We start from the raw sequence: 19,971 nt of genomic DNA on the forward strand, positions 1-19,971 counted from the left end.
AGACAATGAAGCAATATTGTGTCATATTCTTAGGGTCCAGAGATTAGGGAGGCAGATCTCTACTGGGCCATTTTGGAAATTCTGCCTCTCACAGTGCCAAATATAAATAAGAATATTTGTTGGTAATGTTATTATGAAGATTGCATAAAATAATCAATATATGTACAGAACCTAGTTATAATGTGTATTCTTAGTCTAATAAATAATGATAATATTGCCATGATCATATTATGCTTCCAAGTTTACTATTTCACTTTCTTTTATAGAACTGTTGGATATAAATCCTTTGCTTAACACACTTTCACTGAGATTATTATTGGCATTTTTTTTTAGCTTTGGGAACATACTCTTAGAATACTGAAATGATGTGTTTCTTCATCAGCTCCCAACATATAGCACATTGACACTTTCTTGTTGAAAACTGCTTCACTGAAGTCCTGAGTCTGAGTGTGTCATTAGTGCGGATGAACCCAGTCTTATAAAATCAAGTCTTATTTAAGGCATAGGCCTTATATACAATGATAATGGCACAGTCTTTGGAAATTTGGCTCACTGCAAGAAACACTTACTCTATTACTGATGTACGTAAAGTGAACTATAGTTTTCAATGGGTTGACTTGTATCAACTCATTTGTGACTTATAAAAGTCAAGTGACTCAGTAGGATCAGTATTAATGTCTCTTTTTTAAAAAAAATAAGAAGTCTGGGGCCCTTGGCCCAAGGTCTCAGACGAATATTCTTACGGGTTGATGGAAGTGTTTTATTTTCAAAAACTAGAAGAATATAAGAACTAAAATCAAAGCCAAGGTCTTTCACACAACTTCCTTCAAGTATTCAATTAGATAGCAATAATAATAGTATTAACAAGAAAAACTCACCTAAATAAGAGTATACAAGTTTATTTTAAGGTGTTCATAGGGTTACCAGTTGGATAGGTCATAATAATATATAGAGATATGGGAAATTAAGACCTATGAAGTTTTAATTATTTGCATAAGAGTATGCCCTTGCATCATAAGAAAACATATAAAAACAGAAATATGTTTCAAACTTGTGTATAACATATATATACATGTTCAACTTGATCAGGTTCTTACTGAAATTATTTATTTATTTTTATTATACTTTAAGTTCTGGGATACATGTGCTGAATGTGCAGGTTTGTTACACAGGTATACATGTGCCATGGTACTTTGCTGCACCCATCAACCCATCATCTACATCAGGTATTTCTCCTAATGCTATCCCTCCCCTAGCCCCCATCCCCCCAACAGGCCCCAGGGTGTGGTGTTCCCCTCCCTGTGTCCATGTATTCTCATTGTTCAATTCCCACTTATGAGTGAGAACATGCGGTGTTTGGTTTTCTGTTCCTGTGTTAGTTTGCTGAGGATGATGGTTTCCAGCTTCATCCATGTCCCTGTGAAGAATATGAACTCATCCTTTTCTATGGCTGCATAGTATTCCATGGTGTATATGTGTCACGTTTTCTTTATCCGGTCTATCATTTGTGGGTATTTTGGTTGGTTCCAAGTCTTTGCTATTGTAAACAGTGCTGCAATAAACATACGTGTGCATGTGTCTTTATAGTAGAATGATACAGATTTCAAATTTCCTTTATAGGCACAACAGACAAAACATGGACTCACAATCTAAACTCTGAAAAATGACAGAAAAGGAAAACCAGTGAATTAAGAACAAGTATTTAAAAAGGGAATTATAAAAAGCAAATACTGTGCTGCTGGGTAATCAATTGACTCCCCTTACCCGGAAGTCAATAGGGTGTCTTAATTTATACTTTAATCAAAAAAATAAATAAGAAAATATTTAATATTTTGAAGTTCAGAGAAAGAAAATTAAGCATTCTCCATGACATCCTCAGAAATGTAGACAATTCTATAATAAATGCATTTTTAAACTTAACACAGTAGGAAACATGGGATTTGGTTGCTGGCACAAAGGCTGCATGGTATGGCTTAGGCTTATGCCCTATGATCGCCCTCACTGACATCGCCTGTTGTCTCACTGTAAGAAATACTACTGAGGATAATTATTGCATGAGTTTCAAATGCATTTTGTACCACCTCTGATATAAGGCATATTAAGGCTATAAAATATTATCTTTAAAAGAGTCACAGGATTAAAGAAAGATATAGGGTATTTGGAGCTTTAAGGCTCTTCCTGCAGGAGGAGTTTCCACTTCACCGAGGGATCAAAGTCCTCTTCAAGATCACCCAGCTCCTGCTCCTTGGAGAGCTCCAGGAAAACCTAAAAGGAAGGAAAGAAATAAAGAGAGGAGAACAATGCCATACTGCCTCCTGCAGCTCCAGGCGAATGCATTATACATGTATATTCCATGGATGATATAGAATCACTAAAAATGACCCACCTGCTCCAGGGTAGACTGTGAGAGGCTGTACTCCTCCAGGTCGAAACTCTGTTTAACTGCATAAGAATGAGCATACATTAGGAATTCTATTTTTTTTTTCAGTGAGTTTTACCAAGTAACAAACCAAAATACATACAAGTAGATCTTAAACATAAAAGATAAGGTAATAAGTATTCTTAGACTAAATATGGGAAAGCAAACGCGATATAGTCATATAACAGGAGGAAACTCCATCCCTTTCATCTAGAGTATTGGTAGAGGCACCACAAAACTAGAAAGCAATATCAGAGGTTCCAGAGCATCTGTGCAGAACAAGCTAAGAGATGGTACCCTCTGTGCTAGACGATGACCACGTACCCCTCTGTACCAGCCCTCATTCTTGTCTACTCCAAAGGCTGATGTAACAGATGTCTTCTGGTGGACATCACCAATGGCAAGCCCATTAGGAAGGACAGGGGAGACAGGAGGTCAAGGCATTTATTCTTTCACTTCCTCCCTGACACCAAGTGTGTGCCTTGTTTCTCTCAAGGTAGTAAGTTCTACATGACTCTACCCTCAAGTTCAGGTCATTGCTTCCTCTCTTAGTCCCTCTGGACCTAAGAATGGTAACACTTCTATTGTTTCTCGTCTCAGGTAGTTACACTGTTCCATGTACCTTTGCAAAGAGTCTTCTGATAAACAAACGTTCCTTGAATTATCCTATTTTGAGTTTACCATCTGATACCAATTTGGACCATGACTGAGACCTCAACCATGTAGATACATAAGAAGAGGAAGATAATGAATGGAAAAATGAGACTGGAAGGCAAATATTTCTTTTGGACAGTGTCAGACTGCTGTGGCATTTTCTTTCTTCTTTCCTTGGACATAGGACTAGTCCCTATCTTATATCTGGAAACATGTGAAGAAGAAATACAGTGGGTGGCTGACTTCCCTGCACTTGTAGAGTTTAGAGAAGCAAAGATGCTTGTGTGTTTCTCATGGATTTCAAAGGGGAGGTATCTTGAGAAGATCACCTGGAAAGGGAAAGGGGTTTCAAGGAAGGGACTCAGGAGCTGCCAGGTGGTCACAGGAGCCGCCAGGTGGTCACAGGAGCCAAAAGCAGGATGCATCACCCACCCCGGGGAGCTGTAATCAGAGGTAATAGATGAGGGGGGGAAAGAAAGTCATCAAGGAACCCATAAAAGTACCCAATGAAAGAAAGGGCCAGCAATTCTTCATTTCTATACTGGAGACCCCAATGTGATATCATAGCTCTAATGATCAGATCAAGCTCTGATGCAATATTATCTCTTCTTTTTTCCACTTACACTACACCCTGGAGAGGCCCAAAACATTCGTTTATGAGTCATGGAGGAAATAGAGAAAGAAAAGACATAAAATTGACCATTTCACCTTCTAAGCTATAGGTCTTCAAATTCGAAGCAAGTCTGACCAAGAAGGGGCATGTGAGGCTAGGGTTTTGCTGGAGTTTACATTACCCAGCAGAGATTGGTGGTAGGAAAGAATGAAACTATGCAACAAGGTAAAAGGATTGCCATGGAGCAGGCATTTGGCTTGGACGACACCGTGCCTAGCCCATTCAATAAGTGTATTGCACCTGAGAATGTAACAGTGTCCAAGAACATTTGGAGGAAAAAATGCTAGCTTACATCTCCACATTTTGTACTTTGTGTCGTCTTCACATATTGGAGCAAGAAACTCTGATAAATACTTTGTTTTTCCCCCTAAATGAGAACTTCACTTTTAGCAAATTAAGTACTGCAGGAGGAATTTGAGGTGGGAGGGAATGCTTTTGAAAGCAGAAGCATGTTGATTTGGGGTGGAGAGTTCTGTAGATGTCTATTAGGTCTGCTTGGTGCAGAGCTGAATTCAATTCCTGGATATTCTTGTTAACTTTCTGTCTCGATCTGTCTAATGTTGACAGTGGGGTGTTAAAGTCTGCCATTATTATTGTGTGGGAGTCTAAGTCTCTTTCTAGGTCTCTAAGGACTTGCTTTATGAATCTGGGTGCTCCTGTATTGGGTGCACATATATTTAGGAAAGTTAGCTCTTCTTGTTGAATTGATCCCTTTACCATTATGTAATGGCCTTCTTTGTCTCTTTTGATCTTTGTTGGTTTAAAGTCTGTTTTATCAGAGACTAGGATTGCAACCCCTGCCTTTTTTTTGTTTTCCATTTGCTTGGTAGATCTTCCTCCATCCCTTTATTTTGAGCCTATGTGTGTCTCTGCATGTGAGATGGGTTTCCTGAATACAGCACACTGATGGGTCTTGATTCTTTATCTAATTTGCCAGTCTGTGTCTTTTAATTGGAGCATTTAGCCCATTTACATTTAAGGTTAATATTGTTATATGTGAATTTGATCCTGTCATTAGGATGTTAGCTGGTTATTTTCTCGTTAGTTGATGCAGTTTCTTCCTAGCCTCAATGGTCTTTACAATTAGGCATGTTTTTGCAGTGGCTGGTACCGGTTGTTCCTTTCCATGTTTAGTGCTTCCTTCAGGAGCTCTTTTAGGGCAGGCCTGATGGTGACAAAATCTCTCAGCATTTGCTTGTCTGTAAAGGACTTTATTTCTCCTTCACTTATGAAGCTTAGTTTGGCTGAATATGAAATTCTCTCAATAAATTAGGTATTGATGGGACATATCTCAAAATAATAAGAGCTATCTATGACAAACCCACAGCCAATATCATACTGAATGGGCAAAAACTGGAAGCATTCCCTTTGAAAACTGGCACAAGACAGGGATGCCCTCTCTCACCACTCCTATTCAACATACTGTTGGAAGTTCTGGCCAGGGCAATCAGGCAGGAGAAGGAAATAAAGGGTATTCAATTAGGAAAAGAGGAAGTCAAATTGTCCCTGTTTGCAGATGACATGATTGTATATCTAGAAAACCCCATCGTCTCAGCCCAAAATCTCCTTAAGCTGATAGGCAACTTCAGCAAAGTCTCAGGATACAAAATCAATGTGCAAAAGTCACAAGCATTCTTATACACCAATAACAGACAAACAGCCAAATCATGAGTGAACTCCCATTCACAATTGCTTCAAATAGAATAAAATACCTAGGAATCCAACTTACAAGGGATGTGAAGGACCTCTTCAAGGAGAACTACAAACCACTGCTCAAGGAAATAAAAGAGGATACAAACAAATGGAAGAACGTTCCATGCTCATGGGTAGGAAGAATCAACAACGTGAAAATGACCATACTGCCCAAGGTAATTTATAGATTCAATGCCATCCCCATCAAGCTACCAATGACTTTCTTCACAGAATTAGAAAAAACTACTTTAAAGTTCATATGGAACCAAAAAAGAGCCTGCATTGCCAAGTCAATCCTAGTCCAAAAGAACAAAACTGGAGGCATCATGCTACCTGACTTCAAACTATACCACAAGGCTACAGTAACCAAAACAGAATGGTACTGGTACCAAAACAGAGATATAGATCAATGGAACAGAACAGAGCCCTCAGAAATAATGCCACATATCTACAACTATCTGATCTTTGAGAAACCTGACAAAAACAAGAAATGGGGAAATGATTCCTTATTTAATAAATGGTGCTGGGAAAACTAGCTAGCCATATGTAGAAAGCTGAAACTGGATCCCTTCCTTACACCTTATACAAAAATTAATTCAAGATGGATTAAAGACTTAAATGTTAGACCTAAAACCATAAAAACCCTAGAAGAAAACCTAGGCAGTACCATTTAGGACACAGGCAGGGGCAAGGACTTCAGGTCTAAAACACCAAAAGCAATGGCAACAAAAGACAAAATTGACAAATGAGATCTAATTAAACTAAAGAGCTTCTGCACAGCAAAAGAAACTACCATCAGAGTGAACAGGCAACCTACAGAATGGGAGAAAATTTTTGCAATCTACTCATCTGACAAAGGACTAATATCCAGAATCTACAATGAACTCAAACAAATTTACAAGAAAAAAACAAACAGCCCCATCAAAAAGTGGACAAAGGATATGAACAGACACTTCTCAAAAGAAGACATTTATGCAGCCAAAAGACACATGAAAAAATGCTCATCATCACTGGCCATCAGAGAAATGCAAATCAAAACCACAATGAGATACCATCTCACACCAGTTAGAATGGCGATCATTAAAAAGTCAGGAAACAACAGGTGCTGGAGAGGATGTGGAGAAACAGGAATACTTTTACACTGTTGGTGGGACTGTAAACTAGTTCAACCATTGTGAGAGTCAGTGTGGTGATTCCTCAGTGATCTTGACGTAGAAATACCATTTGACCCAGCAATCTCATTACTGGGTATATACCCAAAGGATTATAAATCATGCTGCTATAAAGACACATGCACACGTATGTTTATTGCGGCACTATTCACAATAGCAAAGACTTGGAACCAACCCACATGTCCAACAATGATAGACTGGATTAAGAAAATGTGGCACATATACACCATGGAATACTATGCAGCCATAAAAATGATGAGTTCATGTCCTTTGTAGGGACATGGATGAAGCTGGAAACCATCATTCTCAGCAAACTCACTCAGCATGTTCTCACTCATAGGTGAGAATTGAACAATGAGAACCCATGGACACAGGAAGGGGAACATCACACACCAAGGCCTGTTGTGGGGTGGGGGGAGGGGAGAGGGATAGAATTAGGAGATATACCTAATGTTAAATGACGAGTTACTGGGTGCAGCACACCAACATGGCACATATATACATATGTAACTAACCTGCACGTTGTGCACATGTACCTTAAAACTTGAAGTATAATAATATAAAAAAACTAAAAAAAAAAAAAAGGAAGGAAATCGTGTTGTGGATGAATCTAGAGGACATTTTGCTAAGTGAAATAAGCCAGGCACAGCCACACAAATAGTGCATAACCCCACTTATATGTAGAACCTAAATAAGTCAAACTCAGAAGTAGAGAGTGGAATGATGGTTGCCAAGAGATGGCCAGGGGTGGGTGGAGGGAAGGGAAGGCAACAATAGAGGGTAGGGAGGATAGAGCAATATTGGTTAAAGGGTACGATGTTTCAGTCAGACAGGATAAATAAATTCAGATTTATTGACTGTATAACATGATGACTGTAGTTAATAATAATTTATTGTATACTTGAAACTTGCTAAGTGGGTAAATCTAAAATATTCTCAGCACAAATAAATGTTAAGTATGTGATGTGAAAAAAAAAAGAAAAAAGAAAGCAGAAACATGAGCAGCCTTTTTTAAAAAGCCTCTAGGGAGGCAGCCTTCCTGAAACATCAATCTCTGCTCCTAATCCATTATAAAATACTTCCTGTTGATCTCACTGCGGAATCCTTCCAACTGGAAAGATGCCAACCAGCCATTGGGGCATAATGGTCAGTGTGGTCAATGTGAAAAACGGCCACATAGACCACAGGGTGAGGTTGACCAACAGGATGAGAAAGTGAAACAAAAACCTATTTGGGTGATCCTAACCCTGTCTCAAGAAGAATCTCATTAAAAGCTAGGATGACCATCCTGGCCAACATGTTGAAACTCTGTCTCTACTAAAAATACAAAAATTAGCTGGGTGTGCTGGTGTGTGCTACTCGGGAGGCTGAGGCAGGAGAATTGCTTGAACCCAGGAGGCAGAGGTGCAGTGAGCCGAGATTGTGCCACTGCACCACTCCAGCCTGCCAGCCTGGCGACAAAGGAAAACTCTTTCTCAAAAAAAAAAAAAAAAAAAAAAAAAGCTAGGATGCTTGAGGCCTCTGATGAAGGCAGGTAACAAGCCAGAAAGTACAGCTCAAGAAGGGGCATGAGGTTTCATACACTAACTCATCAGATTTCATACACTAACATGACAGGGAAAAACCAAGCCCCTGATACATTGATGCAGTATGCAAAGACCAAAATCCAAGGGCCTAAAATGACTTACAGATTAACACACCTAAACAGAGACAGGAACCTCCTTATCTGCATCTATCAATAGATGGCTATAAAACAATACATAGAGGCAAAAACCAAATTCATATGTTTCTGTTTGTATGAGTTTGTGGATAATCTACCGCTGAATGTACATGGTCTCTTTCTCCCAGAGCCTTGTTCAATTACAGTAGGGTACCTTGGCCCCAGCACTAATGACGTTTTGACTGATCACTCTTTCCTGTGATGGCTGACCAATGCACTGTAGGGTAGTTAGCATCATCCCTGGCCTCCACCCACTAGAAACCACTTGCATCCAACCTCTCTGTCCGCACTTGTAAGAACCCCAAATCTTCCCAGACATTGCCAAATCACCCCTTATGGAAAAACACTGGATTAGCAGTCTTAGTAATGTATTAATGATATAACAGCATAATTCTATGTTTATGTATTTTTAAAATACTGGTTCTATGTCAGATTTAGGCTTATCTGTTTCCCAGAGTTTTGTCTCTAAACAGTCACTCTTACCTATCTCTAATTTGAAGAAAGCCTGTGATAAAGGTCGCACATCCTCAACAGGCAACTTATAGACCATCAGGGAGGAGAACCTGCGAAGAGAAGACAGTGAGGCTGAACTCCAGGTGTCAAGGTTGAAACCCCGATGGGTACAAGTCTAAAAAGGGAAACAAGGCTAGGCATGGTGGCCCATGCCTGTAACCACTGCAATTTGGGAGGCCAAGAAGGGAAGATTGCTTGAGCCTATGAGTTTGAGACCAGTCTGGGAAACAGATGGAGATCCCATCTCCACAAAAAAACTTAAAAATTAGCCAGGAATGGTGGTGTGTGCCTGTATTCCCAGCTACCATGGAGGCTGAGGCAGGAGGACCACTTGAGCCCATGGGATTGAGGCTGCAGTGAGCGGTGATTGCACCACTGCACTGTAGACTGGGCGACAGAGTGAGATCCTGTCTCAAAAAATGAAAATAAAAAAATGAAAAGGAGCAACAATATCGTCAACAATCTGTCTAAATAGTCACATCTGTGCGGTGTTAGAGAGACACTCATAATGTAAGTGCTCTTTGATCAACAAGAAGTCAATCTACTAAGAGGAGGAATGAAAGACAAAGGGAAGGAAATTAACAGCCCCTATGCCTTATGAAGGGAAGAAGCAGAACTTCTTATCCTTCTTCTTAGTGAGAAGAGAGTAGCATTTCAGTAAAAAGAACTAGATTCTACTCCTGTCTCCACACTCTGAGCCTCAGTTGATTTCACTGATAATAATATATAGAAATGTTAAGAGACACCATTCACTGAGCTTTGACTGATGCCTGGCACTCTGGCATGGGCTTTATGCAGGTGATTTCCTTTAATGAGGGATGGTTTTACCCTCTAGAAGGAACCCCTGAGATGACCTAAGTGCATGCATGCATCAGTATTTGGCATGTTAGAGCCCCCATGCATGCTGATTCTCTTACAAGGGTCAGCTTTCAAATCAGCACTTTGTTCTCTTATTTCCCTCTTGTGTGAGCCCTTGGAATTGAATTTCTCTTAAGTAAAGTACTTGCAATTACCATAGAGTTAAAGAACGAGAAGATAAAGCTCTTATTCCGTCATCATAGCAGAAATATGGAAACAAAAACCAAGGACTGTGATAAAACAAAACACCTGTGTCTACCTTTCCTGCTGAGCAGCCTGGGGGAAAAGCCTCAGGATCTCTGCATGGAGGGGCTCCATTTGTGCCAGGTTCTTCAGCTTCATCTCCAGCAGGTAGTCTTTGCCAAATTTGCTTTTCAGGTGTTGGATGGAACCAATACATCTGAAGGTAACAGAAGGATAAAGTCAAGCAAGAAAAGAGAAAAATGTATGGCTTGTGATGTTCAGCCTCTGGAGGCCAGAGTAAGGCCACATAGAGTTGGAAGCAACCATGCTAGCTCCTCACGATGGGTAGCCTGGTGCAGGGAAATAAACTTTGCTCACAGCACACAACCTAGGGGCTGAGCGCCGGCTTGGACAGGCACTCACCTCAGCCTTCCTGACACCATGATGGCCACTCGGTCACACACCGCCTCAGCCTCTGCCATGTAGTGGGTGGTCAGGAGGGCGCCCCTCTCCGTGTTTCTAAAGGTGGCCCGAATCACCTGCCTAAAGTTAAGTCAAGAGAAAACGTGAACTCATGGGAATGCTCAAGGTATTTGGAATTTTAAAAAGAAGTTTCCATCGACGCAAAGATGAAACATGCAGCGAATTCAGACTAGACAAAAAAGGGGTGTGTGTAGGGATGACAGGCACGGAAACCAAACTATTGGATAGAGTATATAATTCAGAACGTAGAAAATGATATTGGGTAAGATGCTGTTTATAAAAATACTAAGTTCAGAAATATTTATGAGAATGCAGTAGGAACAAAGAAAATTAGGAGAATTTACTAAAAAGCTTGATAATCATGACATACTCCCTATAGGTACAAGATGACAGAATTCAGAAACTTCCCAAAAATAATTTTAAAATATATTGAAGATTTGGAATGTTTCTTTTTTTCCTCCATAGGAATTGTATATCAGGTGATGTTGCAGAAAGATTTAAAGCTTCATTATAGATTGATTTGGCTGTATAAAAATGTTCCATGTAGGCACAGACACAAAAATTATTCGAGCAAATATTAGGGTGAGATAATATAGCTTTTTCTTCTCAATAAAAGCTGGTTGTGATTTGAAATCAGATAATTTTTTTTCCTAAAATATTGCTTTTCCTGATACTGTGTCTTTTCCTTTCTAAGTAAACAATGATTTTGCAGGCCAGTTTTCACAGGATCAATACACTCATGCAGAGGTTGCTCATGATAGCACCTCACCACATTTGCTGCTGCCCCTCGGGGTCCATCCCGGTCGACGGCTCATCCAGAAGCACCACTGACGGGTTCCCCAGGATGCTCAGCACAAAGCACAGCTGCAACGGGAGGAACAGCCCCTCTGGTTCCCATCTACGGCACTTGCAGAGCAACAACAAGCCCTGCCCGTACCTTTCGCTTTATTCCCTCTGACAAGGTCTTCACGGGAGCCTTCAGCTGGTCCTGCAGCTTGAGCGCATCCACTAACCTGAAGAAAACAGAGTCAATCCACATAATCCCAACACTGGCGAATGTACATGGGAGAATGAGCAAATCAGGAGAAACACGACGGTGGGGGAGGTGTTTATGAGTGGTCAGAGTGGTCATAAAATTTAAACCACCTAGGTACTTTATGAACCTTTCATAGTCATCAAACTCATATTTTCAATGATGTCTTTCCATATTAAGAATAATCAGGCTGGACCGGGCACAGTGGCTCATGCCTGTAATCCCAGCACTTTGGGAGGCTGAGGCAGGTGGACCACGAGGTCAAGAGATTGAGACCATCCTGGCCAACATGGTGAAATCCTGTCTCTACTAAAATTACAAAAATTAGCTGGGCATGGTGGCGTGCACCTGTAGTCCCAGCTACTCAGGAGGCTGAGGCAGGAGAATCGCTTGAACCTGGGAGGTGGAGGTTGCAGTGAGCTGAGATCGCACCACTGCACTCCAGCCTGATGACAGAGCAAGACTCCGTCTCAAAAAACAAAACAAACAAAAACCAAGAATAATCAGTCTGGGTGCAGTGGCTCACACCTGTAATCCCAGGTGGCTCACACCTGTAATCCCAGCATTTTGGGAGGCCAAGGTGGGCAGATCACCTGAGGGTCTTGAAAGACCAGCCTGGCCAATATGTTGAAACCCCGTCTCTACAAAAATACAAAAAGTTAGCCCGGCATGATGGCGGGTGCCTGTAATCCCAGCTACTAGGGAGGCTGAGGCACAAGAATCGCTTGAACCCAAGAGGCGGAGGTTGCACTGAGCACTCCAGCCTGGGCGGCAGAGCCAAACTCCGTCTCAAAAGAAAAAAAAAGGAAAAAAGAAAAAGAAAAAGAAATCAATAAACATTTTTCTCTCCAGGCTCAAAGTGAGAGAAAACAACACTGAACAGAGTTCTAGATGACCAAATCTTCTCCCACAAGCATGGGGTCATCAATTACAACCTCCCTGTCTTCATTTTGTGTGTATGTTATTAATACAACATCCCCTCCAGCAAAGGGGAGTGCCCCCCAGTCCCAGGTACCGTGTGATGGCGATCATTGCGTCCCCTTTCCTGAGACCTTTCACGGCAGCGTACACCTCCAGGTGCTGCCTCACTGTCAGGTTGGGCCACAGCGCATTCTCCTGAGGGCAGTACCCCAGGAAGCCCAGGGGTTCCCCTCCACCGCTCCCTTTCAAAATCACCTATGCAAAATAAGTTCATTCTTAGATTCTATCCCAAATGTCACGTATATGTATATGCATGTAAGCCGTACTTCAGAGATGCCCTTCTCTTCACACACACAGGTGCTAAGTGCACAAATGCAAATCAGTAATCACTTAACTTTGGGGAAAAGGTGGTAAAAGCCCACTTTAAAAGGCAGACATTCCATGGTTATCCATTGTAGTGTAGACTTTACTACCAATTCCATGACCGTGATTGAACTCAAGATTGCTGATTTGAGTGTCTTTTACTTGGCTTCATTCATTGATCCAAACATTCAAAGGAATAGATACTTGTTGAGAATTCTGTTTCGCCAGTGATAGTTATAATTATAGGATTTATCTTGCAATAAGGCAGTGGTTCTCAGCCAGGGGAATCCTCCTCCTAGGGGATATTTAACAATGTCTGGAGACACATTTGGTTGTCACAATTCATGTGTGTATGCATTGGGAAAACAGTATTACTGGCATCTAGTAAGTAGGGGCCAAGGGTGCTGCCAAACATCCTACTATGCACAGAACAGCTCCCCACAGCAAAATGACATTATCAAGTCCATAATATCGAGGTTGAGAAATTCTGAACTAAGAAATAAACAAAAAACTTTTAGCACTGTATCTAGCCCGTAGGAACCAATATACACATGATAGCATTTATTATTTTTATTAGCCAGGCTATGCTTTACAATAATAAGAACATCTAATGTGTCCTCAGTGCTTCCTATGTGCCAGAATCTAAGCATATAATATATTTTTAATTACATTATCCTATCCTTACAGAACCCCTGTATGTGTTAGGTGTTTGTTTTATCATTGATGTTTTACATACAGAAAATTATCACAAGCATGGATTATGAAACTTGTACAAGGTCACAACAAGGTAAATCTCGGACTTGAAGCTGGGATCCACCTTCAGAATCCAAGTCCTTGACCTTGATGCTATATTGTCTCCCCCCAGTACAAAGGAGAGAGCTAGTTAACCTTGCCTCATTGAGCTTTCATTTTGGAGAAAGAAACATAAAATATAAGTAGTAAGTAAACACGTAAGTGAACAATTTATAACCTCTGCCTTGTGCTTTCAAGGAAATAGATATGCTAAAGAATAACAGGGAGGATTTAATTTAGCTGACAGTGTAGTTAGGAAAAGGCATTTTGGGGAGATAAATTTTTAAGCGATGAGAAGGAGACAGCCAAGCACATGAGGAGCCAACAGAAGGGCACTCTAGCCACAGGAAGATCAAACCCAAAGATCCCACAGCGAGAAGGTGCCTCAAGGCCAATGTGAGCAGGCGGTCAACAGACCACATCATGCTGGGCTGGTTGCAGCCATGGTAAAGATTTTGGATCAATTCTAAGTGAGAGGTTGTACATGGGAGATTGACATGACCTCATTTGCGTTTTTTTTTGTTTGTTTGTTTGTTTGTTTGTTTTTTTGTTTGAGATGGAGTTTCTCTATTGTTGCCCAGGCTGGAGTGCAATAGCGCTATCTCAGCTCACCGCAACCTTGGCCTCCCGGCCGGGTTCAAGCAATTCTCCTGCCTCAGTCTCCCGAGGAGCTGGAATTACAGGCATTCACCACCACGCCTGGCTAATTTTGTATTTTTGGTAGAGATGGTGCTTCTCCATGTTGGTCAGATTGGTCTCTAACTCCTGACCTCAGGTGATCTGCCTGCCTCAGCCTCCCAAAGTTCTGGGATTACAGGCAGGAGCCACCGTGCCCGGACCTCATTTGCATTTTTAAGGACTGTTCTTGCTGCAGTGTGAGGCAAGAGTGGAAATGGAAGGACAGGAAACCTCTGTAGCATTGAACGCCACTGTGCGACCTTCCTTCATAAACACTCCCTCTGACATTGAGCTCATGTTCAAGGTCAATAGCATTTCCTCTTGGAAGTTGTGGTCCTTTGGCTTCTGTCCATCATTTTACCCAAACTTGGCCTAGACATACCACTAAATGGTACTCATATATTATTCTAGCTTTTGTTTTGCAATTTAGATAATTATCCATTTTTTTTTCATTAAATCTGATTTCTCTTGTCTTAAATCCTGGATCTTTTACCATTAGCCCAGAATCACCATTGTCCTTCAAGAATTTCAGTGTATCTGCAATAATACCCTCAACTGCTCTATCACTACATTACATCATCAGGGCCAAGAAATGTTTCAATAATTGTAGGAAAGTTTCTGTGGTATATACCTTCTTAAAGACCTATGAGGTTTTACTCGCTAATGGACTCTTATTGTTACACAAGTCACACATAATCTTTAATTATAGCATATAGCTAGAGGACAGTCATTAAATATGAAGACTCATGGCTCTGCAACCACATAGGCAGGAGTTGTCATTATTCTGACAGTGGTTTCTGGTGTCATGCTGGGTGAGGGCATTAAATTCGACAAAGTTCATGGGATGCATAAATCAATAAAGCAAAGATATCTGACTTTAAGGAAGATATATTTCCTTTTAAAATCTTTATTTTTCACTCAATAAAAGGCATAGTATATATGATATGTAGCCCTTCTCAGAAACAAACTGTTTTTGGAATTAAGTATATAAATTTTTAATCAATCTTCTTTATTCAATGCATAAATCACACTAAGTGATTATGGATCAACTACATAGTCTATTATTGCCATCAATATTCTTTGTAGGTAGCACTAATGACCATATTCCTGTACGTTTTACTGACCTGTCCTGCAGTTGGTTTTGTGTCTCCAGTTATCATCTTAATAGTTGTACTTTTACCAGCTCCATTGTGTCCTAACAGTCCTATAACTTCACCTGAAAGAAAGTGGTATGCTCAGAAATATACAAATAATTGCAACAAAAATAAAAGCAAATACCATTTGAGGGCTGTGTGTCAAGTGCTATGTGAAATGTGCTATATATATTATTTCCCTTATTCCTCTCTCTCTCTCTCACACACACACACACACACACACACACACACACACACACCCCTGAGCATTATAACTAGCTTCATTTTACAGGTGAGGAAGCTAAGACTTAAAGAGGATAAATAAGTTGCCCCATGTCATACAGACAGTAAGAGGCTGAGCTGGAAGTTGTAACATATTTTGATTTCAAAGCCTGTTGTACGAACCCCCCACTTTCACGAAATGGGCTGTTTTGGGGGAATGGAGAAAGCACTGTTATGCCTCCATTGGCTCCCTTCTGTGTAGTATTCGCTGCAATAACATTGTTACCTAAAAACTATACCATCCTTCTTAACAGAAAGACCGCCTCTTTTCATTGTTGTTGTTCTGTTTGTTTGTGTTACAGAACAGACATAACTGTCTTCCTATGTAAAGAAAAAAAGGTCGTTATCATTTCAACTGAGGCTTTTAAGCAGGAGGAGCAGGCTTAGCCTGCTGCGTTTGTCAATAGATGTCCCCAGATTCAGATACTCTTATTCCCTGAATAATCCAGTCTTCAGATTCAAGATTGCTCTACTAATGGAACTACTGTTTCCAACCTTTTTTAACACAAAAAGAGACATTTCTTGTGGCAATTTTTTTCTTCCTTTTAGAAAAGCAATTTTTCTTTTTGCCTGCATATTCCTTCCGTAGACAGCTGGCAATGATGACGGGTGTCTGTAAAGACAAGTAAATAACAACGGGACTTTATTCGCATCTTGAACTGAGAGGGTGTTCCACACTCTTGTCACCAAACCTTTCCTTATAAAAAATCATGAATCAAACCACTTCTTCCCCTAGAAACTGCCATTTTCAAGTGAACTCTTACAGTCTACATTCCTGCAAGGAAAGGGCATTTGCACCATATCCTGGGATTTGTTCTTTGGAGAGCAGGAATAGAGACAGTCACTGAACCAACAGATTTGATAAGACACACACTCCCATAAACAATCATGCACACAAACACACACGCACCGCAGACAAGCTCTCTCTCAGTGACTTGCAGTAAGCTTCACTTTGGTTATAAAACACAAAATCTTACTTAAGTTTTGTAATGTTTAGCTGTACTTATCAAAACCACAACCCTGAAAAATAAATCAATACAAGTCAATATCTGTGTGTGTGTATGCACATGCATGTGTTTCTTGAGACAGAATCTTGCTCTGTCACCCAAACTAGGGTGCAATGGTGCAAGTATATCTCACTGTAGCCTTGAACTCTCAGGCTCAAGTGAGCTTCCAGCCTCAGCCTTCTGAGTAGCTAGGACTACAGGCACATGCCACCAGGCTCATCTAATTTTTTTATTTTTAATTTTGTAGAAATGGGATCTTACTTGTTGCCCAGGCTGGTCTCAAACACCTGACCCTAAGTGATCTTCCCACTTCAGCCTCCCAAAGTGCATTGTGTGTGTTTTCTTTGCTCTCTTACATTTGTGGGCCTTGCATACCTGCTGAAGTCAAGTAATAAGCTGTATGTGTAAGAATGAAAGAACCCCAAGTGTTTTTCGAAAACTAAACTTAGAAAGTTTCTCACTTTATCTGTCAGAAAAAAAAATAGTTGACGAAGAACATTTCTGAGTTCTACCTCATCAAAGTCTCGCACAGCCATAGCATTCACTGTTCTCATTCTTTCCATCTGGATATCTTCCTCCTCTCCTTCAGGCTCTTCTGGGTTTGGAAAAATAGCGTTGCTTCTTGGAGAAATTCTGAAATCAAAACAGTGTGATAATGATAAACTTCGGGTTAAAAATCTTGTATCAAAATTAATGAATTTTCTCTATACTTCCAATTTTTGGAGTAGATTCATTCAGAGCACAACATCCTCTCTATTCTTCTACTTGCACCATCCGCCTTTCAAACACCCTAGTTTCCTTCAGTGAGTAGAGTAATGATATCCTTATATCATCTTCGCTTTTTACCAAAGCTTAATCCTCCCTGTTGATGGTGACAGTTTTCTTTCAAAGAAGAAAGTGGTATACACCCTCTGGCAAAGGATTGTGAAGCAGAGTTGCATGAGGAAAGGAATCTAGGAACTATAGTTTTGACAACAGATATTTTGGAATTCTGAGGTCTTTGTGAGAGCCATGAGTCCAAAGATTTGGAATCAAGGATGTGTCCCAGAGAATCCAGGATATCTAATCACCATACCAATGCCTAATTAGTTACTGAGCACAGTCACTTCTTGGGAATGTGTGACAGAATCACTCTTTCCTCTCTGCTACAGACTCGTTCTTGCCTTCATCATCCCACCATTGATTCCTGCTCATTCTTTTATCTCTCCCTCATGCCACGCTCTGACATTCTGGTTGCCTGTTGGTTTCCTAAAACATGGCTGTCATCTTGTCACTCTTCTCTGCTACCACAAACATTAGACTTAAGCTTGGTTTATATTTTATATGGAAGGCTAAGTGTTCAAGACACATTGGTGTCTTGGTTTCACATTATGTAATTTGCAAAACCTTTCCTATACTTTTCTGTTTCAAGATCCTCCAATATCTAGCCTCACTTTCATTTTTCATCATCCCCCAACATAAGCCTACAAAGGAGCTCCTGGTGCCTTCATCTCATCCTTGGTTTTATTGCACAAACTATTCTTCCTTCCCGGATTGGATTAACTTTCCCAATGCTTATCTATATTTACCCATTATTTTAGAGATTCCACCTCTTACACATAACTTTCCTCTATAGTAAAATTATGGTCTGCCTTAATTTTCCAGTGTCTCGTGTGTGCTAATATGGTTTCTCTCTCTAGATTGTAAGCTCAGTATATATTCCTATATTATGGGTTATAAGAATTTTGTATATCACAGTCTTTAAAAACCATCCTGTGAAGTGTCTTTTACTTAATTAATTCAGCACATTAAAAAGTCCTTAAAGAATGAATATCAAAATGAAACATGAAATTCGATTTGATTTTCTCAACCTGAACACAGGATCCTTTCTCATTAGTTTCTTCCTGCAGTTCATTTCTAGGCATCGCAGAATGAAAAGAAAAATGAGAAAATGAAGGTAAGGCTAGGGAAAAAGAAAGACAATCACAATTAGTATCACTATAAATGCAATGATTTCAATATTGGAATTGATTTAAAGAGTTTGATTATATAAAAATTCGATTTGATAGCATTCATTTTTACAAGGCTGAAAGACAACCTGTAATATTCTTTGAAACTGTCAAAGTTAGCCTCACTGCTATTCAGAGAGAGCCTAACAGAAATATAATAGTAGCAAGTGAAACCAGTACTACCCATGACAGATAATTATTGTAAAGATAGGAGTCCAGGGCCAGGAGCGTTGGCTCACGCCTGTAATCCCAGCACTTTGGGAGGACGAGGCAGGTGGATCACATGAGGTCGGAAGTTCGAGACCATCCTGACCAACATGGAGAAACCCCATCTCTACTAAAAATACAAAATTAGCCACACATGGTGGTGCATGCCTGTAATCCCAGCTACTTGGGAGGCTGAGGCAGGAGAATTGCTTGAACACGGGAGGTGGAGGTTGTGGTGAGCTGAGATAGCGCCATTGCACTCCAGTCTGGGCAACAAGAGTGAAACTCTGTCTCAAAAAAAAAAAAGGGGGGGGGTCCAGGTTAAAAGCCATCGTGTGTGTGTGTGTGTGCACGCATGCATGCATGTGCATGTGTGTGTTGCTTCAAATGCCTAAAATGTCCAAACCTTCTTAATTTGATGCAATTCAGAGAAACTCAAAACATACAAAAGTTGTGTTCCCTCATGCAAGAATGTTGAAAAAAAAAGTCTTCTTACTATTAGCAGTGCCAGGTATACAATTTCAGATTCTGAAGCTCCTAAGTAATCCATGGAATCAGGAGAAATCTGTAAAATGAGCAGTAAGTGTATTCAGGTGAACCTTCTTTATTTATTCATGGAATTTATCCCACTTAAGATAAACTGATGCCTATTCAATGGCCTTACAACCATTCGACCTGATGCTCCCTTGGGTATCATGTAAAAGTTAATTTCGGACTGTGCAGTATGTCTTCTTTGCTTCCAGTGTGTCTCTAGGCCGGGATGCCTTTGTATGTAACACTGTGAGTCAGCAGGAGTTGCTCTGTTAGGAGAATCCTGGGCTGGTGCTGGCAGGATCCTTTGAAGCAATGCCAAGTCTGTCTTAAGACAAACCCTCTCCCCTAACCTTACCTGTATTTCTGTCTTCATTTGTGCTCTTCCCTCGATTATGCCCCCAAGGGCCCTGGAATCTTTATATTGCTCTTGCCCTCTTACAGCCACTTTTGAGAGTAATTATGACAATCTTTTCAAACTGAAGACAAAGTTCTTCCCCTAGAGTTTCACACGTATACATATAAGTGCATTTTTCCAACATTCCCCACTCTTTTGCAAATAAAAGGTAAAAGGACAATTTTGTTTCTTGAGCTATATTTACCAACAAGTTTCCTGAGCAATTTTAAACGCTTTGCAGTAGATTTCTAACTATCACAGCCATCCACCAT

The 19,971-nt window shown here is 40.4% G+C and overlaps 1 protein-coding gene across 11 annotated transcripts in view; it reads right to left on the reverse strand.

Moving 5' to 3' along the window:
- Positions 1-739: 739 nt before the first annotated feature.
- Positions 740-19,971, reverse strand: part of ABCA9 (ATP binding cassette subfamily A member 9) — a 104,490-nt gene continuing 85,258 nt past the window's right edge. For 7 of the 11 annotated variants that reach the window (XM_017024013.2, XM_047435107.1, XM_024450529.2 and 4 more), the window contains 14 exons: positions 19,268-19,336; positions 18,427-18,518; positions 17,089-17,209; positions 16,065-16,182; positions 15,279-15,370; positions 12,416-12,576; positions 11,305-11,380; positions 11,137-11,231; positions 10,308-10,427; positions 9,961-10,101; positions 8,814-8,893; positions 2,387-2,442; positions 2,203-2,265; positions 1,493-1,656 (listed from right to left, as the gene is read on the reverse strand). In XM_017024013.2, coding sequence (XP_016879502.1) covers positions 1,615-1,656; positions 2,203-2,265; positions 2,387-2,442; positions 8,814-8,893; positions 9,961-10,101; positions 10,308-10,427; positions 11,137-11,231; positions 11,305-11,380; positions 12,416-12,576; positions 15,279-15,370; positions 16,065-16,182; positions 17,089-17,209; positions 18,427-18,518; positions 19,268-19,336 — 1,326 coding nt within the window. In that variant the 3' untranslated portion in view covers positions 1,493-1,614. Of the gene's footprint in view, positions 2,266-2,386; positions 2,443-8,813; positions 8,894-9,960; positions 10,102-10,307; positions 10,428-11,136; positions 11,232-11,304; positions 11,381-12,415; positions 12,577-15,278; positions 15,371-16,064; positions 16,183-17,088; positions 17,210-18,426; positions 18,519-19,267; positions 19,802-19,971 lie in introns of those variants that run through there. The other 4 variants (XM_017024011.2, NM_080283.4, XR_007065256.1 and 1 more) reach the window with 3 other exon arrangements.

The sequence above is a fragment of the Homo sapiens genome, chromosome 17, assembly GCF_000001405.40.
Source record: "Homo sapiens chromosome 17, GRCh38.p14 Primary Assembly".
Taxonomy (NCBI): Eukaryota; Metazoa; Chordata; class Mammalia; order Primates; family Hominidae; genus Homo; species Homo sapiens.